This window comes from Homo sapiens, chromosome X (genome assembly GCF_000001405.40).
Source record: "Homo sapiens chromosome X, GRCh38.p14 Primary Assembly".
NCBI lineage: Eukaryota > Metazoa > Chordata > Mammalia > Primates > Hominidae > Homo > Homo sapiens.
Genome location: NC_000023.11, coordinates 24,412,688 through 24,432,754, shown reverse-complemented (window position 1 = coordinate 24,432,754; position 20,067 = coordinate 24,412,688). Strand labels below are relative to the sequence as shown.

The following is a 20,067-nucleotide window of genomic DNA, read 5'->3' as shown; positions in this document are numbered from 1 at the left end:
ACTACACTCTCCACCCCAGTATGTTCCACTTATTTGCCCCATTGTCTTTTTGTTTACGCTTGTTCTGCTTTGGTACACTTGATATATCCAGCCATATATCAATCCAACTATTTGGCTTCTCTATTCCTACGACTACTAAGCAGTTGAAAAAGTCAGGGAAGCTTATACATTATAAATTGGTGCCATTCCTGATTGATGTGCTTTAACATCAGCTGAGCTCTCAAACCTGTCCTGCAATCCTTTCATTCGGCCCACTTTACCTTCTTCTCCCATTCCCTGAGGTCAGCTCTACTACTGGCCCTTTCACTTATGTCATTCTCACCATGGTCTTTCTTGAACGAGCCAAGATTACTCAAGTCTCCTTGGTGCTTGCTGTTCCTCTGCCATAAACATTTTTGCACTAGGTCCTTAAATGGCTGGAAACTTTTTGTCATTCAGGTCTTAGTTCAAATGTCACCTCTCCAGAGGGGCCTTCCCTAGCCACCCTGTCTACTGTGGTCACCTTCCTCCCACTGCTGTCACATTATCCTGATTTATTTTCTTATTTCTTTTATCTGTGCCATCTGTCTGGAAAATTCTTACTCCTATGCTTCTAAAACCCTTCCTTAGCTAGAGTCAGAGACTTGCTCCTCTGTGCTTTCATAATACCCTGTGTAGAGCTCTCTTACTGGGTTGTTGTTGTTTGTGGATTACAGATCTGTGTTCCCTTTCCAGATTGCAAGCTCCTTACAGATAGGTGCTGCGTCTTATTCATCTTTGGCCCTAGCAAGGTGCCTGGCACAGAGCAAGCACCCAGTACTACAATATGTGTGGAAGACAGTAATAGAAACCCATTATCTATGGAGTGTGGGATCTGTCCATCATGAATGAGGATTAACAATTGTTGGGAAATAACAATGGGGAAACATCCTATAACACAAACTAAATTGTGCTGAGTATGACTTATAATAGCACCCAATAGGGGAAAGTGTCTGAACATAGGAAACTCAATAGGTAAACTATGGCACATCTACTCATTGGCATTTCATACTTCTATTAAGATGATGACATCCTACAAGAGATAATAACATAGAACCTTTTTATGTCATGATGATAATGAAAACGCAAAACCTGTACACATCATGAAGATTGGAAGAAAATTAACTAAAATGTAATGCTAAGTTTTTTATGCAATAGAAATATAGGTGCTTTTCTGCTCTTTCTTTTGCTTTTCTGAATTTTTCTACTTTTCTCTATGTGTATATTACTTTTATACTGAAATAAGCCCCAACATTTTGCTTCTAAGAAATGGATATAGTCCTATTCCTTCTTTGCTTTATACAATTTCAAATATTAATTTATTGTTCAATACCCTGGAAAAACTGAAGACTGCAGAGTCAGAGTGATTTATCCAGCATTCCTCAACAAATTAATGACAGAAAAAGAAATATTACGGTAGTCCTGACGTTTGGGAACAAAAATGATTTCCTGTAGGCTGTATACCATCAATATTGTATTTCAGATGGTTTTGTATTAGGTCCTTGGCAATAGGCTAAGTGGCAAATGAGAAATAGCATTTTAAGAGTATTCAAAGGAAAGGAAATAAGTATATCAAAGAGCTATCTGCACCCCCAGGTTCACTGCGGCACTATTCACAATAGTCAAGGTGTGGGAACAACCTAAATGCTCAGCAGTGAATGAATGCCTAAAGAAAATTTGTCATATATACATAATAGAATATTATTCAGCTGTAAAAAAAGAATGAAACCCTGTCATTGTAGCAATGGATGAGCCTGGAAGAAATTAGGTTAAATGAAATGTCAGAAACAGAAAGATAAATACTGCATGTTCTCACTCATATACTGAAGCTTAAAAATCTGAGCCTGGTGTGGTGGTACCTGCCTGTAATCCCAGCTACTCAGGAGACTGAGGCAGGAAGACCATCTGAACCCCGGAGTTTGAGGCTACAGTACACTATGATCACGCTTGTGAATAAACACTGCGCTCCCTCCCAGGCAACACAGCGAGACCCCATCTCTAACATGAAAAACAATTTTAAAAATGTTTAAGTTGAGTTCATAGAAATAGAGAGCAGAACTATGGTTATTAGAGGCTAGGAAGAGAGGGGAGTAGGGCTATGAAGAGGTTGGTTCACAGATACAAAATTACACTTAGATTTTATTACTATTTTTTTTTTAGAGATGTGGTCTCACTATGTTCCTTAGGCTGGTCTTGAACTTCTGGCCTCAAGCGATCCTCCTGCCCCAGCCTCCTGAATAGCTGGGGTTACAGACACAAGCCACAGTGCTCAACTCAAATTTAAGACTTAACAATGAAATATCAAGGTGGATATAGTTCATTTGAAGGAAAAAAAAAGAATTCATAAATGTAGGCTTGCTTTATAAAAGGGGTCGCAAGAGAATTAGTTTGAGTTCTAAATTCCCCTAAAATATTTAAAATATGGCCCTACTCATATAACGTAACAGATAATACAATGCTGAGACCCAGTTATCATTCAGATAACAGGACAAATATCTAACACAATAAATTCCAATCTACCAAAGAATTGGAAAAGTTCCTTAGAATCACAAGGATTTTTTAAAACTTAGATATGCCTTATATCAAACTCATTGTTTGGATGGAGGAGCTACCCCAACTTTGTGTCGACTTTTAAAGTGAACAGTTTAGAGGAAAATTATACCTGTCATATAAGGGAAAAGGCAAATTTTAATAAAATGGATGAAGGTTGGAGGATGTTTTAGTTTGAGTTCTGTGTTAGGCTGTTCTTGCATTGCTATAAAGAAATACCTGCTATAAAGAAAAGAGGTTTGCTCTCTCCGGTCTGTGCCTCCAAGATGACAAAGAAAAGAAGGAACAATGGTCGTGCCAAAAAGGGCCGCGGCCACGTGCAGCCTATTCGCTGCACTAAATGTGCCCGATGCGTGCCCAAGGACAAGGCCATTAAGAAATTCGTCATTCGAAACATAGTGGAGGCCGCAGCAATCAGGGACATTTCTGAAGCGAGCGTCTTCGATGCCTATGTGCTTCCCAAGCTGTATGTGAAGCTACATTACTGTGTGAGTTGTGCAATTCACAGCAAAGTAGTCAGGAATCGATCTCGTGAAGCCCGCAAGGACCGAACACCCCCACCCCGATTTAGACCTGCGGGTGCTGCCCCACGTCCCCCACCAAAGCCCATGTAAGGAGCTGAGTTCTTAAAGACTGAAGACAGGCTATTCTCTGGAGAAAAATAAAATGGAAATTGTACTTAAAAAAAAAAAAAAAAGAGGTTTAATTGGCTCACAGTTCTGCAGGCCATATAGGAAGCATGGTGCTGGTATATGCTTGGCTTCTGGTGCAGCCTCAGGAAGCTCACAATCATGGCAGAAGGCAAAGGGGTAGCAGGCATGTCACATGGTGAGAAAGGTGGCAAGGTGGGGGGGAAGGTGGGGGGAGGTGTCACCCACTTTTAAATGACCAGATCTGGTGAGAACTCATTCACTCTGGTGAAGACAGCACCAAGCCATGAGGGATCTACAACCATGACCCAAACACCTCCCACCAGGCCCCACCTCCAACATTGGGGATTACATTTCAACACAAGATTTGGGTGGGGACACACATCCAAACTCTATCACGTTCTCCTAAAGATAGGTGCTGACATAAGGATTCCAGTGCAAGATCATCTACATAAGTCCTTGACTTAAGATGGTTCAACTCTGGATTTCTCAGCTTTAAGATGGTGCAAAACCATTCTGTTTTTCACTTTTTGTACAGTATTCAATAAATTACATGGATTATTCAACACTATTATAAAATAGGCTTCATGATGATTCTGCCCAACTGTGGGCTAATGTAAGCGTTCTGAGCATGTTTAAGGTAGACTAGGCTAAGTTATGATGTTTGGGAGGTTAGGTGTATTCAATGTGCTTTCGACTTACAGTATTTTCAACTTGCAATAGGTTTATCAGGATGTAACCCCTCCATAAGTCAAGGAGTACCCGTAGTTTACTTGGAAGGAAATTTCAGGAAACACCAGTACGGCAGTGGGGAAGTGAAACAAAGAAGGGAAGGAAGAAGCCATTAATGGTGTGTCATCAAGTGAATTACCATTGTGGGCAACTGGAACTTAATCCTGCTGATACTCTGGGTGACAAGGTAGAACCCCACCTGAAAAGCAAGAGCACTGTTTGAGAGTTGCTCTGGTGTTCAGAGACAGTCTTAGGGCAAAGAGTAGTAGTTGCTGACTGTTAGAAGTTGGACCCATGGCTGGGCACGGTGGCTCACGCCTGTAATCCCAGCACTTTGGGAGGCCAAGGCGGGGGGATCACCTGAGGTCAGGAGTTTGAGACCAGCCTGGCCAACATGGTGAAACCCCAGCTCTACTGAAAACACAAAAATTAGCTGGGCATGGTGTCAGGCGCCTGTAATCCCAGCTACTCGGGAGGCTGAGGCAGGAGAATTGCTTGAACCCAGGAGGTGGAGGTTGCGGTGAGCCAAGATCACACCACTGCACTCCAGACTGGGTGACAGAGTGAGACTCCATCTCAAAAAAAAAAGAAGTTGGGCCCATATGCATAAAAATGGTAGATACTGAGGATTATGAGTGGGGTACCAAAGCATCTGCTACAGATGGAAGAAACAAACTTCAGCATGGTGTTTTACTTTGCTTTGACACTTTTCTTTAAGTGGTTTTGGTGATTTACATTTATGGTCAAAATTCCTTAAAGCTAACTTTCTATCTGCCATACTCTCTTGTATGCATGCTCATTTTTCTTGCCCCAATATGCACAGGCCTGTGCCCAGGCTGTTGCCAACACAGGCTTCTTCTCTGTGCCCCCCTTCCTGGAGGCTGTGCCTGGTTAACAGCAGAAGGAAGGCCTCAGTGCTCGAGCAGCTTCTTCTGGTTTGACCTGTTATCTGTTCTCAGTGGATGTGGTTCAGGACAGTAGAAAACATGGCCTAGGCTGCTATTACAGCAGAAGGGCCTGGAGCCTTCAAAGCATTTCTATAAACAAAAAATGATCTAGTTTTATACTTGTTGAACATGTTCCCTGGGCAAGGAACAAAGATCAAATGCAGTTAGTCACTCTTGAAGGGAAACTGGTGGTTTGTGTTCCAAGAGGACTTTGTCTCCTCCTCTTTTCCTCCTCCTCTCCTCTCCCCACATCCTCTCTTGAGATGAACTATTTTGTCCTAAGCAATTTTCCAAGTCCAAAGAATGATTGCAGAGTTTGTAACATGCAGTTCATGGCATTAAAACACTTAGCAGAGGAAGCAATAACAAATCCAATGCCACCTTGCCCCTTCCATGCGGTTTTGTAATAAAAGATCAAACTGCAGAGCTGTGAAAGGGCTGGGACAACAGCTCTGCACACATCTGCATCCTTTGGTGGCTTGAGGGTGGGGGACAGCACACCCTTCTGGGTATCAAAAGGCATTGGAACGGGCAGCGCTGGGGCCTCTCCTCTCTGTTTGATCACCTGGAACTAGGGCTGCACCTACGACTCCTTAATGTGGATTTTTAAAGGCAACCCGTCCTCCAGGAGCATGCAGCCCCGTGCTGGGACCCACAGCTTGGCAAGGGGAACATGGGCTGGATTTCAGCTCCCACTCATTCCCTCTGCCAGGTGCCTGTGTACAGGGCACAGCCCACACATTGCGCATGGGGACTCTGTCCAGGACTAGAGGAAACTCCTTCCACCCCTGGCCTGTCATAGGCCACCCACCTCAAGTCCAGGGCTACAGTTCACTTTTTTTTTTTCTCTGAGATGGAGTCTCTCTCTGTCACCCAGGCTGAAGTGCAGTGGCACGGTCTCGGCTCACTGAAACCTCTGCCTTCCGGGCTCAAGTGCCTCGGCCTCCTGAGTAGCTGGGATTACAGGACTCTAATGGAGGGCCACAGGCAGTGGAAAATGAGGCAGACAGTGAGGCTGGCCCCTGAACTGGATAGTGCTGTTAACAGGATCTGGGTCCAGAATACTGCAGACATCAGACATGTGTTAACTGGGTTTGCTGCCGGCAAGCCACCATCCTTGGGAAGGAGTTGTGTGGGCAAATCAGGAAGTTGCCCTCTCAGCAGATGTCTCCAGGATGGCTGCCCTCAGGTGTAATCTGGGGATCAGGAAACCACTGCTGGAATCCTTGGCTTCAGAATCATCCCAGACCTGTTGCAACCTGTATCTGCAAAATAGAAACCACCTACCATGCCTCTTTCCCCCACTTAAATGAGTTCTAACATTTGTCTAACATGACCACATCTGATTGGTGTAACTTAAATTACACAGCTGCAAGGGAGTCTGGGAAATGTAGTTTTTCTATTTCTGTACTATACATAAAGGCACACTGGAAAGAGATCGAAATAGATGTGGAAGAGTCATTTCCATCATGGTTCCTCTGTTTGAAAACCTTCAGTGACTCTCCTAAATGGTGCTGTTGAAGGGAAGCAGGGCCTGGGTCTAAGATACAGCACACACTAACAGTGATTTCCAAACTGTGGTCTATAGATCCCTGGGGAGACAAGATGTTCTTGAATCTCCTTGTATTTCATTTTCTGTGGACTGAAAAAAACATCATGATTTCCATATGTGTTTATTTTTGAAACATGGAAATAATTGGGATTCAAAAAATTATCTCTCTCTCTCTCCCTTTCTCTCCCGCCAAATCACTTGAAAGCCTTCTTTACTTCTTTACAAGCACTCTGTTTCTCACCCACAAACCCCTCTCCTCTGCCTAGAATGTAAATGTCATCTCCCTCCTCACTTGCTAATTCCCATTCATCAGGTAAGACTCGTTTCAGGCCACCACCTCCCCTGGCCTGAGGGGTGATTCTCTCTGACTACCTCAGGCTGGGATAGAGAATTCTCATCTGTTTTCTTGTAATATCCTGGGAAGTTATACTAATAAGAATAAAATAAAAGCTAACTTTTTCCAGCTTACTCTTTGCCAGGCCCCACAAAGTATGTACTCTTACTAACTCATTTTATAGATGGGAACACTGGGACATAGAGAGGTTCCATAACCTGCCCAAGGTCACCTGCTAGTCAGTGGTGGCTGCAACTCAATCCTAGGCAGCAGTCTGGCTTCAGAGTCTATGCTCTTGATGGATAGTCTTGTCTCCTCTCATCCTATTATTGCGCTGCTCACCCTGCCACCATCTCTCTCTCAATCTCTCTCTCTTTCTTTCTCTATCTCTCTCTCTCCTCTCCACTTCACTCTCTCTCTCTCTCCATCCATCTAATCTATATCTCAATCTGTGTGCCTGTCATCTCCATGAATAACCATTGGTTTTCTATGATATTAAAATGGGAGGGGGGAAGTCAACATTTTCCCTCCCTTCCCACCACGTTGGAAATTCTAGGACCGGGGCCCAAATTGTTTGATCCTTCCTTCTCTCATCCTCCACTGTCTGTTAACAGAGGAACTATTTTCTCTTTCGGCAAAGAGTACCAGACTAAATTACAGAGTAGGCTACAAAATTACTACCCTCAGCTCCCTTCTTTGCCTGTTTTCTCTAAAATAGGTTATTCCTGTTGGTTGTATAAATATAAGACAGAAGCCACCACTGCTTTGCAATCACGTGGGGAAGTGTATCATCCGCTCCAAGCTCTGTGGAGCAGACCTCCTGGCCGGGATCCACTGAGCATGCCTCAGGAAAAGATGACGTTGCTGGGAACTCCAGCCCACACATCAGCATTCTCATGTGAACACTTAGTAGAGTGAAATTGGAAATAGTTTGACAACTTTGCGAGACTCAGAAGGTGTTTCCAAATCTGTGCCTTTGCCTTCGTTGTTTATTACCCTGTCTGTCTAACACGGATGACACTTGCCCGTGTTTCATGTGCCTCAGCACCTTGGAGGCTCGACTGAAACTCACCAACAGCCTTACCAGGTGACCTAGCTGGTCATTCCCTCTACTGGGTGTCAGCCACACTCCTCGTACACTGCGGAAGTGCCAATTTACCCCAGACTCATCTCTTCTTGCCTTGCTTAATCTCCTTTCTTTTCCTTTTGTGCTTTAAGTGTCTGATTTCTGATTAGCCCATTTATTTGGCCTCATAAGCCAGGCAGTTCCTTTTCCTTCTTGAAGGTAACTTACAAAAGAAATTTTCTTTAATCACCTTTCAAGTATGCTGTCTGGGCTCCTGTTTAGGAAGGTCCTCCCTGCCCATGAAGTGTCCTTCCAAAGGCTTGTGTCCTCTGCAGGAAACAATTCAGATGGGTCAGGCGTGATGGCCTTGTAAACCTCTCTTGTGCAATTTACACATCTGAAACCATCATTTCTTTCAGCAAGCACACTATTTCATCAAAGCACATCATCTGTAGTAGAGGTAGAAAGCTCATCAAATATGCTTAAGGAGTGACTTTTGTAACTCACTATTGTTTTAAAACATCTTAATTCCTGTTCTGGTTAAAGGACCCAGTATATCTACAGCCATCTTAGAGACTGTCAGTTCAATCTATGAAGAGAGTGGGATGTTGTCAAAACAGTGTTGCACAAACCCTCTAAAGAAAGTGAAACAAAAAAAAATGTTGGTGCAAGTTACAAAAATATTATGGAGTCAATGAGACGTGGCAGTTAATCCTCAGCTAATGTTGACACAGAGCAGCACACCCACAAATGCCAAAGAGTTGAGAGCAGTGGTTCTCAGCCTTGGCTGCAGATTGGAATCACTTGGGTGTTTTGTTTTTTTTTAATCTCCATGTCCAAGCCATACTCCAGTCCAATTAAATCAGAATCTCTGGGGGTGGGCCCCAGGCATCATTACATTTCAAGGTCCCCAGCGATTCCAACATATAGCCAAGTTTGAAATCTATTAGTTTAGAATACCTGGCCCTTGCTCACAACTGCTTAGGCAGGTAGGTGTGTGGGGCTGGGGAAAGGGCAACACATGCCTGGTCAGGCCAATCAGACTGACCAGGGAAGCTATATTAATGATAAGAAACTTCCCAGCATGCCTCTTTCCCAACCTGCCTGCTGCCCACTCAGCTATTGAAGCTACACAAAAGGTAGAGTTGACGCTCAGGTGAGAGTTAAGGTTACCAGATACCAGAGAGCTGAAAGTAGGAGGGTCAAGGCACAGAGAGTAGATAGACACCAGTGCACATGCAGTGGCACTCTGTGATGTCCTTACTGGCCCTGCTACAAAGTGGTATGTTGGGTTTGCCAATTTGATGTATTAAATTGATAACCAGTTGAAATGATATTCCAACAATAGCAATTGATACAATGATATTCAATTGAAAAAGAAAAAAGACCCGGTGGGCAGGGTGTACAAAGGGGGCTTCTTCTGAAGTTCTGGTCATGTTGTTTCTTCAGCTGAGTGCTGGTTACACAGGTGGGCTCAGTTTGTGAAAATGTGTCTACCTGTACACTTATGATATGTGCACTTTTATCTATACATGTTCTGCATTAGTAAAAAGTTAAAAAGGAAGATAAACCCTACATTGATCATTGAAAAAAGGTCATAGATGCTGTCAAAAATTTACCCACAAGCTTGTTTATAGGAGTGGGATTGATAGCCCCATGTTAGAAACCATCCAGCCGGGCGCAGTGGCTCACGCCTGTAATCCCAGCACTTTGGGAGGCCGAGGCGGGCGAATCACGAGTTCGGGAGATCAAGACCATCCTGGCTAACATGGTGAAACCCCATCTCTACTAAAAACACAAAAAAATAGCCAGGTGTGGTGGCAGGCGCCTGTAGTCCCAGCTACTCGGGGGGCTGAGGCAGGAGAATGGCGTGAACCCGGGAGGCGGAGCTTGCAGTGAGCTGAGATTGCGCCACTGCACTCCAGCCTGGGCGACAGAGCCAGATTCCGTCTCAAAAAAAAAAAAAAAAAAGAAACCATCCAAATAAAAAGCACTTGGTTAAATAAATTAAGGTTCTGCCATACAATGGAATACTATGTAGCTATTACAATTCTACACTGTATAAATGTGATTCACCATGTAAGCAGCACTAAAAACAAAAACTACATGATCATCTCATAGATGCAGAAAAGGCTTTAGATAAAATTCAACACTGCTTCATGTTAAAAACTCTCAATAAACATACCTCAAAATAGTAAGAGCCACCTATGACAAACCCATAGCCAACATCATACTAAATGGGCAAAAGCTGGAAACATTCCCCTTGAAAACTGGCACAAGACAAGGATGCCCTCTCTCACCATTCCTATTCAACATAGTATTAGAAGTCCTGGCCAGAGCAATCGGGCAAGAGAAAGAAATAAAAGGCATCTAAATAGGAAGAGAGGAAGTCAAATTATCCCTGTTTGAAGATGACATGATTCTATACCTAGAAAACCCGTAGTCTCTCCCCACAAGCTCCTTGATCTGATAAACAACTTCGGCAAAGTTTCAGGATACAAAATCAATGTACAAAAATCAGTAGCATTTCTATGTACCAACAGCATCCAAGCTGAGAGCCAAATCAAGAATGCAATCTCATTCACAATAGCCACAAAAAGAATAAAATACCTAGGAGTACAGCTAACTAGGGAGGTAAAAGATCTCTACAAGGAGAACTACAAAACACTGCTGAATGAGATCAGAGATGACTCAAACAAATAAGAAAACATTCCATGCTCATGGATAGAAATAATCAATATTGTTAAAATGACCATACCAGCCAAAGTAATTTACAGATTCAATGCTATTACTGTCAAACTACCAATGACATTCTTCACAGAATTTGAAAAAAAAATGTTTTTAAATTCATATGAGGCCATGCGCGGTGGCTCATGCCTGTAATCCCAGCACTTTGGGAGGGCAAGGTGGGTGGATCACGATGTCAGGAGATTGAGACCATTCTGGCTAACATGGTGAAACCCCCTCTCTACTAAAAAATACAAAAAATTAGCCAGGCATGGTGGCGGGCACCTGTAGTCCCAGCTACTCAGGAGGCTGAGGCAGGAGAATGGCATTAACCCGGAAGGTGTAGCTTGTAGCAAGCCGAGATTGTGCCACTGCACTCCAGCCTGGGCGACAGAGCGAGACTCCGTCTCAAAAAAAAAAAAAATTCATATGAAACCAAAAAAGAGCCCTAACAGTCAAGGCAATCCTAAGCAAAAAGAACAAAGCTATAGGCATCCCATTACCTGACTTCAAGCTATACTGCAAGGCTACAGTAAACAAAGCATGGTACTGTTCAGACACATAGACCAATGGAACAAAATAGAGAGTGCAGAAATAATGCTGCACACCTACAACCATCTGATCTTCCACAAAATCAACAAAAACAAGCAATGGGGAAAGAATTCCCTATTCAATAAATTGTGCTAGAATAACTGGCTAGCCATATGCAGAAGATTGAAACTGGATCCCTACTGATATGGTTTGGCTGTGTCCCCACCCAAATCTCATCTTGAATTCCCACATGTTGTAGGAGGGACCCAGTGGGAGGTAATTGAATCACGGGGGCAGGTCTTTCCCATGCTGTTCTCGTGATAGTGAGTAAGTCTCACAAGATCTGATGGTTTTGAAAAACGGAAGTCTCCCTGCACATGCTCTCTCTTTTTGCCTGCTGCCATCCATGTAAGACGTGACTTGCTTCTCCTTGTAAGTCCAATTAAACCTCTTTCTTTTGTAAATTGCCCAGTCTCAGGTATGTCTTTATCAGCAGTTTGAAAATGGACTGATACACTTACCTTTCAACGTATACAAAAATCAACTCAAGATGGATTAAACACTTAAATGTAAAACCTAAAACTATAGAAACACTTAAAGAAAACCTAAGAAATACCGTTCTGGACACAGGCCCTGGCAAAAGTTTCATGACAAACATGCCAAAAGCAATTGCACCAAAAACAAAAATTGACACATGGGACCTAATTAAACTAAAGAGCTTCTGCACAGCAAAAGAAACTATCAACAGAGTAAACAGACAACGTACAGAATGGGAGAAAATATTGTAAACTATGCATCTGACAAAGGTCTAATATCCAGCATCTACAAGGAACTTAAACAAATTTATAAGAAAAAAAAACAAACAACCTCATTAAAAAGTAGGCAAGGGACATGAACAGACACTTTCAAAAGAAGACATGCATGCAGCCAATAAGCATAGGAAAAAATGCTCAACATCACCAATCATTAGAGAAATGCAAATCAAAACCACAATGAGATACCATCTCATACCAGTCAGAATGGCTATTATTAAAAAGTCAAAAAATAACAGATGTTGGTGAGGTTGCAGAGAAAAGGGAATACTTATACACTCCTGATTGGAATGTAAATTAGTTCAGCCACGGTGGAAAGCAGTTTGGCAATTTCTCAAAGAACTTAAAGTAGAATTACCATCTGACCCAGCAATCTCAATACTGGGTATATACCCAAAGGAATATAAAGAATTCTGCCATAAAGACACATGCACACATATGTTCATCGCAGCACTGTTCACAACAGCAAAGACATGGAATCAACCTAAATGCCCATCAATGGTAGACTGGATAAAGAAAATGTGGTACATATACACTATGGAATATGATGTAGCCATAAAAAAGAACAAGATCATGTCCTTTGCAGCAACATGGATGAAACTGGAGGCCACCATCCTAAGCAAACTAACACAAGAACAGAAAACCAAAAACCCCATGTTCACACATAAGTGAGAGTTAAACATTGAGTCCATATGGACACAAAGAAGGGAACAACAGACATTGAGGCCTACTTGAGAGTGGAGAGTGAGAGGAGGGTGGGGATCGAAAAACTACCTATCAGGTACTATGCTTATTACCTGAGTGATGAGTAATCTGTACACCAAACCACCATGACACGCAATTTACCTATATAACAAACCTGCACATGTTTCCCTGAACCTAAAATTAAAGTTAAAAAATTTACATTTAAAAGATTAGGTCATGACATGGAAAATGGCTCACCATCTATTTTAAAGTTAAAAAACCAGACTAGGCATGGTGGCTCACACCTGTAATCCCAGTACTTTGGAAGGCCAAGATGGGAGGACTGCTTGAAGCCCCAGGAGTGGGCAACATAATAAGACCCATCTTTACAAAAAAATTAAAAATTAGTTGGGCATGGTGGCCCACACCTATAGTCCCAACTACTCTGAAGGCTGAGGCAGGAGGATTGCTTGAGCCCATGAGTTCAAGGCTGCATTGAGCTATGATCATACCATTGCACTCCAGTCTAGGTGATAGAGCAAGACTCTGTTGGTTAAAAAAAAAAAAGATGGAATATCGTTATATGTGTATTACATATTACTATGCATTTTTCTATGTACACTATTTTTTGAAATAAAGAAACGTATTAGGCATATTTGAGATATAAAGTCCAACAGACAGAAAGTGTGCAGATGGGACCTGGATTCAAGTCCTACCCCAGCTATTTACTAATAATCATTTGCCCTTGGCTAAGTTGCTGAACTTCATAAAAACCAGTTTTATTGAGATATAATTCACATACCATACAGTTCACCCATTTAAATTCAATTTTTAGTATATTCACAGTTGTGCGACTATCACCACAATCCAATTTTAGAACAGTCTCATCGTTCCAAGGAGAAACCCCGTGCCCATTAGCAGTTGCTCCCCATACCCACCTACCGTCCCAGCCCCTGGTGACCAGTAATCTACTTTTTGTCTCTTTACAGTTGCCTATTCTGAACATTTCATATAAAGGGAATCATACAATGTACAGTTTTTATGTGTGTGGTGTCTTTCACTTAGCATGTTTTTGAGGTCGTCCATGTTGTAGCATGTCTCAATACTTCATTCCTTTTTATTGCCAAATAATATCCCATTGTATGGATATACCACATTTTGCTTATCCATTCATTAGTTGATAAACATTTGGATTGTTTCCACTTTGGGGTTATTAAAAATAATGCTAGTATGAGCATTCATGTGCAAAGATTTGTGTGGATATATGTTTTCATTTCTCTTGGATTCATACCTAGGAGTGGAATTGCTAGGTTACACAGTAATTATGTTTAACCCTTTGAAGAACCGCCAGACTGTTTTCCAAATCAGCCACACCATTTTACAGTCCCCTCAGCAGTGTGTAAGGATTCCAATTACTCTGCATCCTCACCAATACTTGTTATTGTCTGTCTTTTTTATCATAGTCATCCTAGTAGGTATAAAGTGTTATCCCATTATGGGTATTTTTTAGAATAATTTTCCTTTTTTCTCTTTTTTATTCATGTGTCATTTTTACTGTCCACATTTAAGGTGTACAACATGATGTTTTGATACACACATATATAGTGAAATGATTTCTACAGTCAGGTAAATTAACATATCCATCATCTCTCATAGTTATAGTTAGTGTGTGTTAAAAGTACCTAAAATCTACTCTCAGCATATTTCCAGTATACAATATTATAACTCAAGCAATATTATAGCCCTCTTGCTGTTTTGATTTGTACTTCCTGATAACTAAGGATGTTGAGCAGCTTTTCACGTGCTTATTGGTCATTTGTATATCTTCTTTGGAGAAACGTCTATTCAGACCTTTTGCCCATTTTTTAATTGGGTTATTTATATCTTATTATTGAGTTATAAGAGTTCTTTATATATTCTGGATACAAGTTCCTTATACGATTTGTAAATATTTTCTCCCATTCTGTGAGTTGTCATTTACTTTCTTGATGGTGTCCTTTGAAGCACAAAAGTTTTTAATTTTGATAAAATCCAATTTATATATTTTTTTCTTTGTTGCTTATGCTTTTTGTATCATGTCTAAGGAGGCTTGTGGAACCACATCTTTTAATTGCCATGTTTTTGGTGCCAAGCACAGAGTCTAGCATATAGCAGACACACAAAATCAACAATTGAGAACTGAAATGACATATTTTTCTTTATCTGAACTTGGGAATTCATTGAGCACTGTATCAATTAGCTGTCATTTTACAACAGATGACCTCAATTGAGTGGCTTGAAACCAGAAACATTTTCTTTTGCTAATGATTCAGTGGGTTGGTTAGGCAGTTCTTCTGGTCTGTGCTGGCTGATGTGTCTCTATTCAGCTTGCAAGTTGGCAGGTGGTTGGATGATCTAGAATGGCCTCACACACCTGTCTGATGTTTGGCAGATGGTTGTTGGATGGGATGCCTTGGTTCTTCCCCATGTAGCTTTTAACCCTCCAGTTTAGGCTACCTCAGGCTTGTTTACTTGGTGGTCTTCAAGTTCCAAGCCCAAGCTCCAATACCCAAGCATTTTTCAAGCTTCTTCTGGTATCACATTTGCTCATGTCCTATTGACCAAAGCAATTCACATAGCCAAGCTCAAATTTAAGTGATGGAGAAGTAGACCCCAGCTCCTGTGACAAGGGAAGAATTTGTGGCCGTTTTCTATGATCTACCACAAGCACCTTCTGTGCTCCTAGCACTGTTAGGCTTTTATGGGGGAAGTAAAAGGAGACTCTCTCCTTTCAGTTTACAATGCTACTGTGGGTATCCATTCATTCAAAAAATATTTAATATTGTCTTAGTCCATTTTTTGCTTCTATAGTAAAATACCATAGACTGGGTGATTTATAATAAACAGAAATTTATTTCTCACAGTCTTGAGTCTGGGAAGGCCAAGGTTGAGGATCCGGCATCTGGTGAGGGACTTTTTGCTGCATCATCCCATAGCAGAAGACAAGAGGGCAAAAGAGAGGAAAGGGAGCCAAACTTGTCCTTTTATGAGGAACTCACTCCTCAAATAACAAACCTACTCCCCAGATAATAGCATTAATCCATTCATGAGGATGGAGCTGTCATGGCCTAATCACCTCTTAGTCTCACTTCTTAATACTGTTACAATAGCAAGTAAAGTTCAACATGAGTTTGAGAGGAGACAAACATTCAAACCGATTCAAGGCACAATGCATCCTGAGGCAAATTTCCCTTCAGCTCTGAGCCTATGAAATCAAAACAAGTTATCTACTTCCAAAGTACTATGGTGATACAGGCATAGGATAGACATTCTCATTCCAAAAGAGAGAAATAGGCAAGAAGAAAGGGGTAACAGGCCAAAAGTTCAAAAGCCAACAGGATGAACAACATTAAATCATTTCTTTAAGAGTCAGTCTTCGGTGGCTCACTCCTGTAATCCCAGCACTTTGGGAGGCCGAGACAGGCGGATCACCTGAGGTCAAGAGTTTGAGACCAGCTTGGCCAACGTGGTGAAACCCCATCTCTACTAAAAATACAAAAATTAGCCAGGCGTGGTGGCGGGCACCTGTAATCCCAGCTACTCGGGAGGCTGAGGCAGGAGAATCGCTTGAACCCAGGAGGTGGAGGTTGCAGTGAGCCGAGATCACGCCATTGCACTCTAGCCTGGCGACAAGAGTGAAACTCCGTCTCAAAAAAAAAAAAAGTCAGTCTTGCTCTGTCACCTAGGCTGAAGGGCAGTGGTGCAATCATAGCTCACTGCAGCTTGACCTCTTAGGCTCAAGCAATCCTCCCACCTTAGCCTCTCAAGTAGCTAGGACTACCAGGCATGTACCACCTCGCCTGGCTAATCTTTTTATTTTGTATAGGTGGAGTCTTGCTATGTTGCCCAGGCTGGTCTGGAACTCCTGGCCTCAAGCAATCCTCCCGCCTCAATCTCTCCCAAAATGTTGGGATTACAGGCATGAGCCACTGCACCTGGCCCATTAAATCTTAAGACTCCAGAATAATCTTTGACTCCATCTGCTGCCTTCTAGACACACTGGGATTGGGGTTGGGCCACCAAGGCCTCAGGCAGCTTTGCCCGTATGGCTTTGCTGGGCTCCTCCCAAGCAGCAGCTCTCATGGGTTGGAGTCTCATGCCTGCCGTTCTTTCTGGATGGTTGGTGTTGCATGTTGGTGGCTCCACAGTTCCGGGATCTCAGGGGTTTCACTAGGTCTAGTCAGAACTCTGGGGTGGCTCTGACCCTGCAGCTCCACTAGGCATTGTCCTAGAGGGGGTTCCCTGCCATGGCTCTGCCCCTATGACAAGTCTCTGGCTGGGCCCCCAGGCTGTCTGATACATCCTTTGAAATATAGATGGAGGCAGCCATGCCTCCATGGTTCTCAAACTCTGCGCACCTCAGAATTAGCACCATGTGAATGCCACTAAGGCTTATTGCTTGCTCCTTCTGGAGTGGCAGCATGAGCTGAACCTGGGGCCACTTGAGCCACAGCTGGGATGGCTAAGTAGCACTACACTGGAATGCAGGGACCACTCTGCCCTCTTAGAGCCCTGGGCCTGTGTTGGGAGGGGCCGCCCCAAAAATCTCCAAAATGGATTCAGGTTTTCACCTATGTCTTGATGAATAGCACCTAGCTTCCTTGGATCCATGCTAATCCCTTCATCAGAGGGTTTCTTGGCTGTACTCTTGCACACTCTTTGTTCTTTATATGTCCAGGCTGCTAATCTTCCCAATCTTTATGTTCTGCTTTCCTTTTAATTATAAATTCCATCTTTAAATTATTTCCCTCTTCTCTCATTGTACTAAATGCAGTTAAAAGAAGACGTGCAGTTCCTTCAATATTTTGCTTAGAAATTTCTTCTGCCAGAGACCTTAGCTCATTCTTCTTAAATTCTGCCTTCCATAAGGCCCTTAGGTGTTGACACAATTTTTCCAAGTTATTTGGCACTTTATAACAAGGATGACCTTTACTCTAGTTTCCAATATCTTGTTCCTTCTTACCATCTGAGACCTCATCAGAATGGCCTTACATCCATATTTCCACTAACATTTTAATCACAACCATTTAAGTAATCTCTTAAGAAATTTCATATTTGGAGCATAATTCTGAAGCTTTAAAAAAACCAAGAAAAGAAAGAAAAGAAATTTCAGACTTTCCCTACAGCTCTTGTCTTCTTCTAAGCCCTCATTAGAATTGCCCTTAACATTCCATTCATAGCAATACAGGCATTTTCTAGCCTGCTCCTCCAAATTCTTTTTATTTATCTATTTATTTAAATTTATTAGTGGGGTCTTACTATGCTACCTAGGCAGGAGTGCAGTGGCTATTCACAGGTGCGATTATTGTGCATCGTAGCCTTGAACCCCTGTGCTCAAGCGATCCTCCCCGCTCAACCTCCCAAGTAGCAGGGGCCACAGATGCGTGCCACCACACCAGGCTCCTCCAGATTCTTTCAACCTCTACCCATTACCTAGTTTCAAAGCTGCTTTCACAATTTCAGGTACTTGTTATAGCAACACCTCACTTCTCTGGTACCAATATTCTGTCTTAATCTGTTTTGTGCTGCTATAACAGAATACCATAGACTGGGTAATTTATAATGAAAAGAAATGTATTTCTCACAGTTCTGGAGGCTGGAAAGTCCAAGATCAAGGAAATAGCATGTTGCAATGGCCTTCTTGCTGTGTCATCCCACGGCAGAAGGTGAGAGGGAGAGAAAAGGGGGTTGAACTTATCCTTTTATGAGGAACCCACTCCCACAATAACAAACCCACTTTCAAGATAATGGCATTAATCCACTAATGAGAGCAGAGCCCTCATGGCCTAATCACCTCTTGAAGGCCCCACTTTTTAACACTGTCATAATGGTAATTAAATTTTAACATGAGTTTGGGAGGGGACAGACATTCAAACTGTAGCAAATATCTATTATATGTCAAGCATAGTTCTGGGCCCTGGATATATCTCAGTAAGCAGAAAAAACTAAGATCCTAACTCTTGTGTTATTTACATTCTAGTAAAAATTACAATAGGAAAAATTACAAATAAACTCCCAACAAATTGTTCTGGTGGTGGTGAAATTTTTTTATTGCACCTATCTATAATCAAGATGGAATCCAGGACTTGTCTCTGGAAGAAGAAGGGAAGTACAAATGCCTCTAAGAACACATAGCGAAAAGGGAGAGAAGATTGCAAGAGATACTAAGAAAGAAAAACAGACTTCTATAGAAAATGGAGCTTTGTTTTTACAGTATTTTTAAAGTGAGTTTGTATCGGTCAGGGTTCAAGCAGAGAAATATAACCAATAGGAAATATAAAGAGATTTGTTGCAAGGAGTGGTCTTCTACAGTTGTGGAGGATGGTGAGGCAAGTTTGAAATTCATGGGGCAGGCTGTCAGAAAGGGCAGGGAGGAATTCTCTAGCAAGAGCTGAAGCTGCAGTCTGCAGGCAGAAGTTCTTCTAGGAAACCTCAGCTCTGCTTTTAAGACCTTTCACCTGATTGAGTCAGGCCTTCCCAGATTACCCAAATAATCTCCATTAACTAAAAGTCAACTGATTATGGACTTTAATCACATCTACAAAATACCATTATAGAAGCACTGGGATTAGTGTTTAGTTGAATAACTGGGGACTGTAGCCCATGTTGACACCTCAAACTGACCATCACAGGGTTAGGCTGATAACTCTGTGAATATACTAAAAACCACTGTACATTGCTTCTCGGCCTTTTGGCTAAGATCAAGTGTAAAAACCACTGTACACTTTAAATAGGTAAGTTATGTGATGTGTGAAGTATATCTTAATAAAGCTGTTAAAAAGTGGGTTAATTTCATACTTTGGGAGGTCTAATTTTTAAAAATTAATTGGACTTCTTTTAAAAAAAAGTGTGTTATTATGAATGTGTTGACTCAGCCTGGGAAGTCAGAACAGAAACTGCAATACATGCAAAATGTGGGCTAACTCACCCTAAGCGTGGCACAGTTTTGTCCTCTCAGCTAGAAGTTAGAGTGATTCCCCATGGCTTCCTTCCTTACTGCCTCTGTGCAATAGACCAATTAAGGTTTTCACTCCCCAGCCAGTCACCAGGAGAAGACAGATGCTGAGAGAGTCAAAGAGCAGTGTCTGTGCTAAGAGTCCAGGAGGCTCCTCAAGCCCATGGGCTGGTCTTGGGATGTAGAACCTGGTGCCACCTAATAAAAACCATGTCAACTCCAATTAGCTCTCTGTCTTCTCTGCACTCAAGTAGCTTTGGCCTGTGGGCAGCTTCTACAGCTCAGCTGTAGAGACAAATAAGTAGGTGGTGAGGTTTCTTTGTTTTTGTTTTCTTAAGCGTGGTGAGGGTTAGATGTGTTCCAGGCATTTAGAGCAGAGTGAGATCATTCTAGGCTGAAAAGGCTTGGAGAAGGCCCTTGGGGAAGGAAGCACGAACAAAACGTGGATGACAGGAGGCAGGAGGGCACAC

At 42.2% G+C, this 20,067-nt stretch overlaps 1 pseudogene; it reads left to right on the top strand.

The window, feature by feature from the left end:
• Window positions 2,806-3,251, top strand: RPS26P58 (ribosomal protein S26 pseudogene 58; annotated as a pseudogene).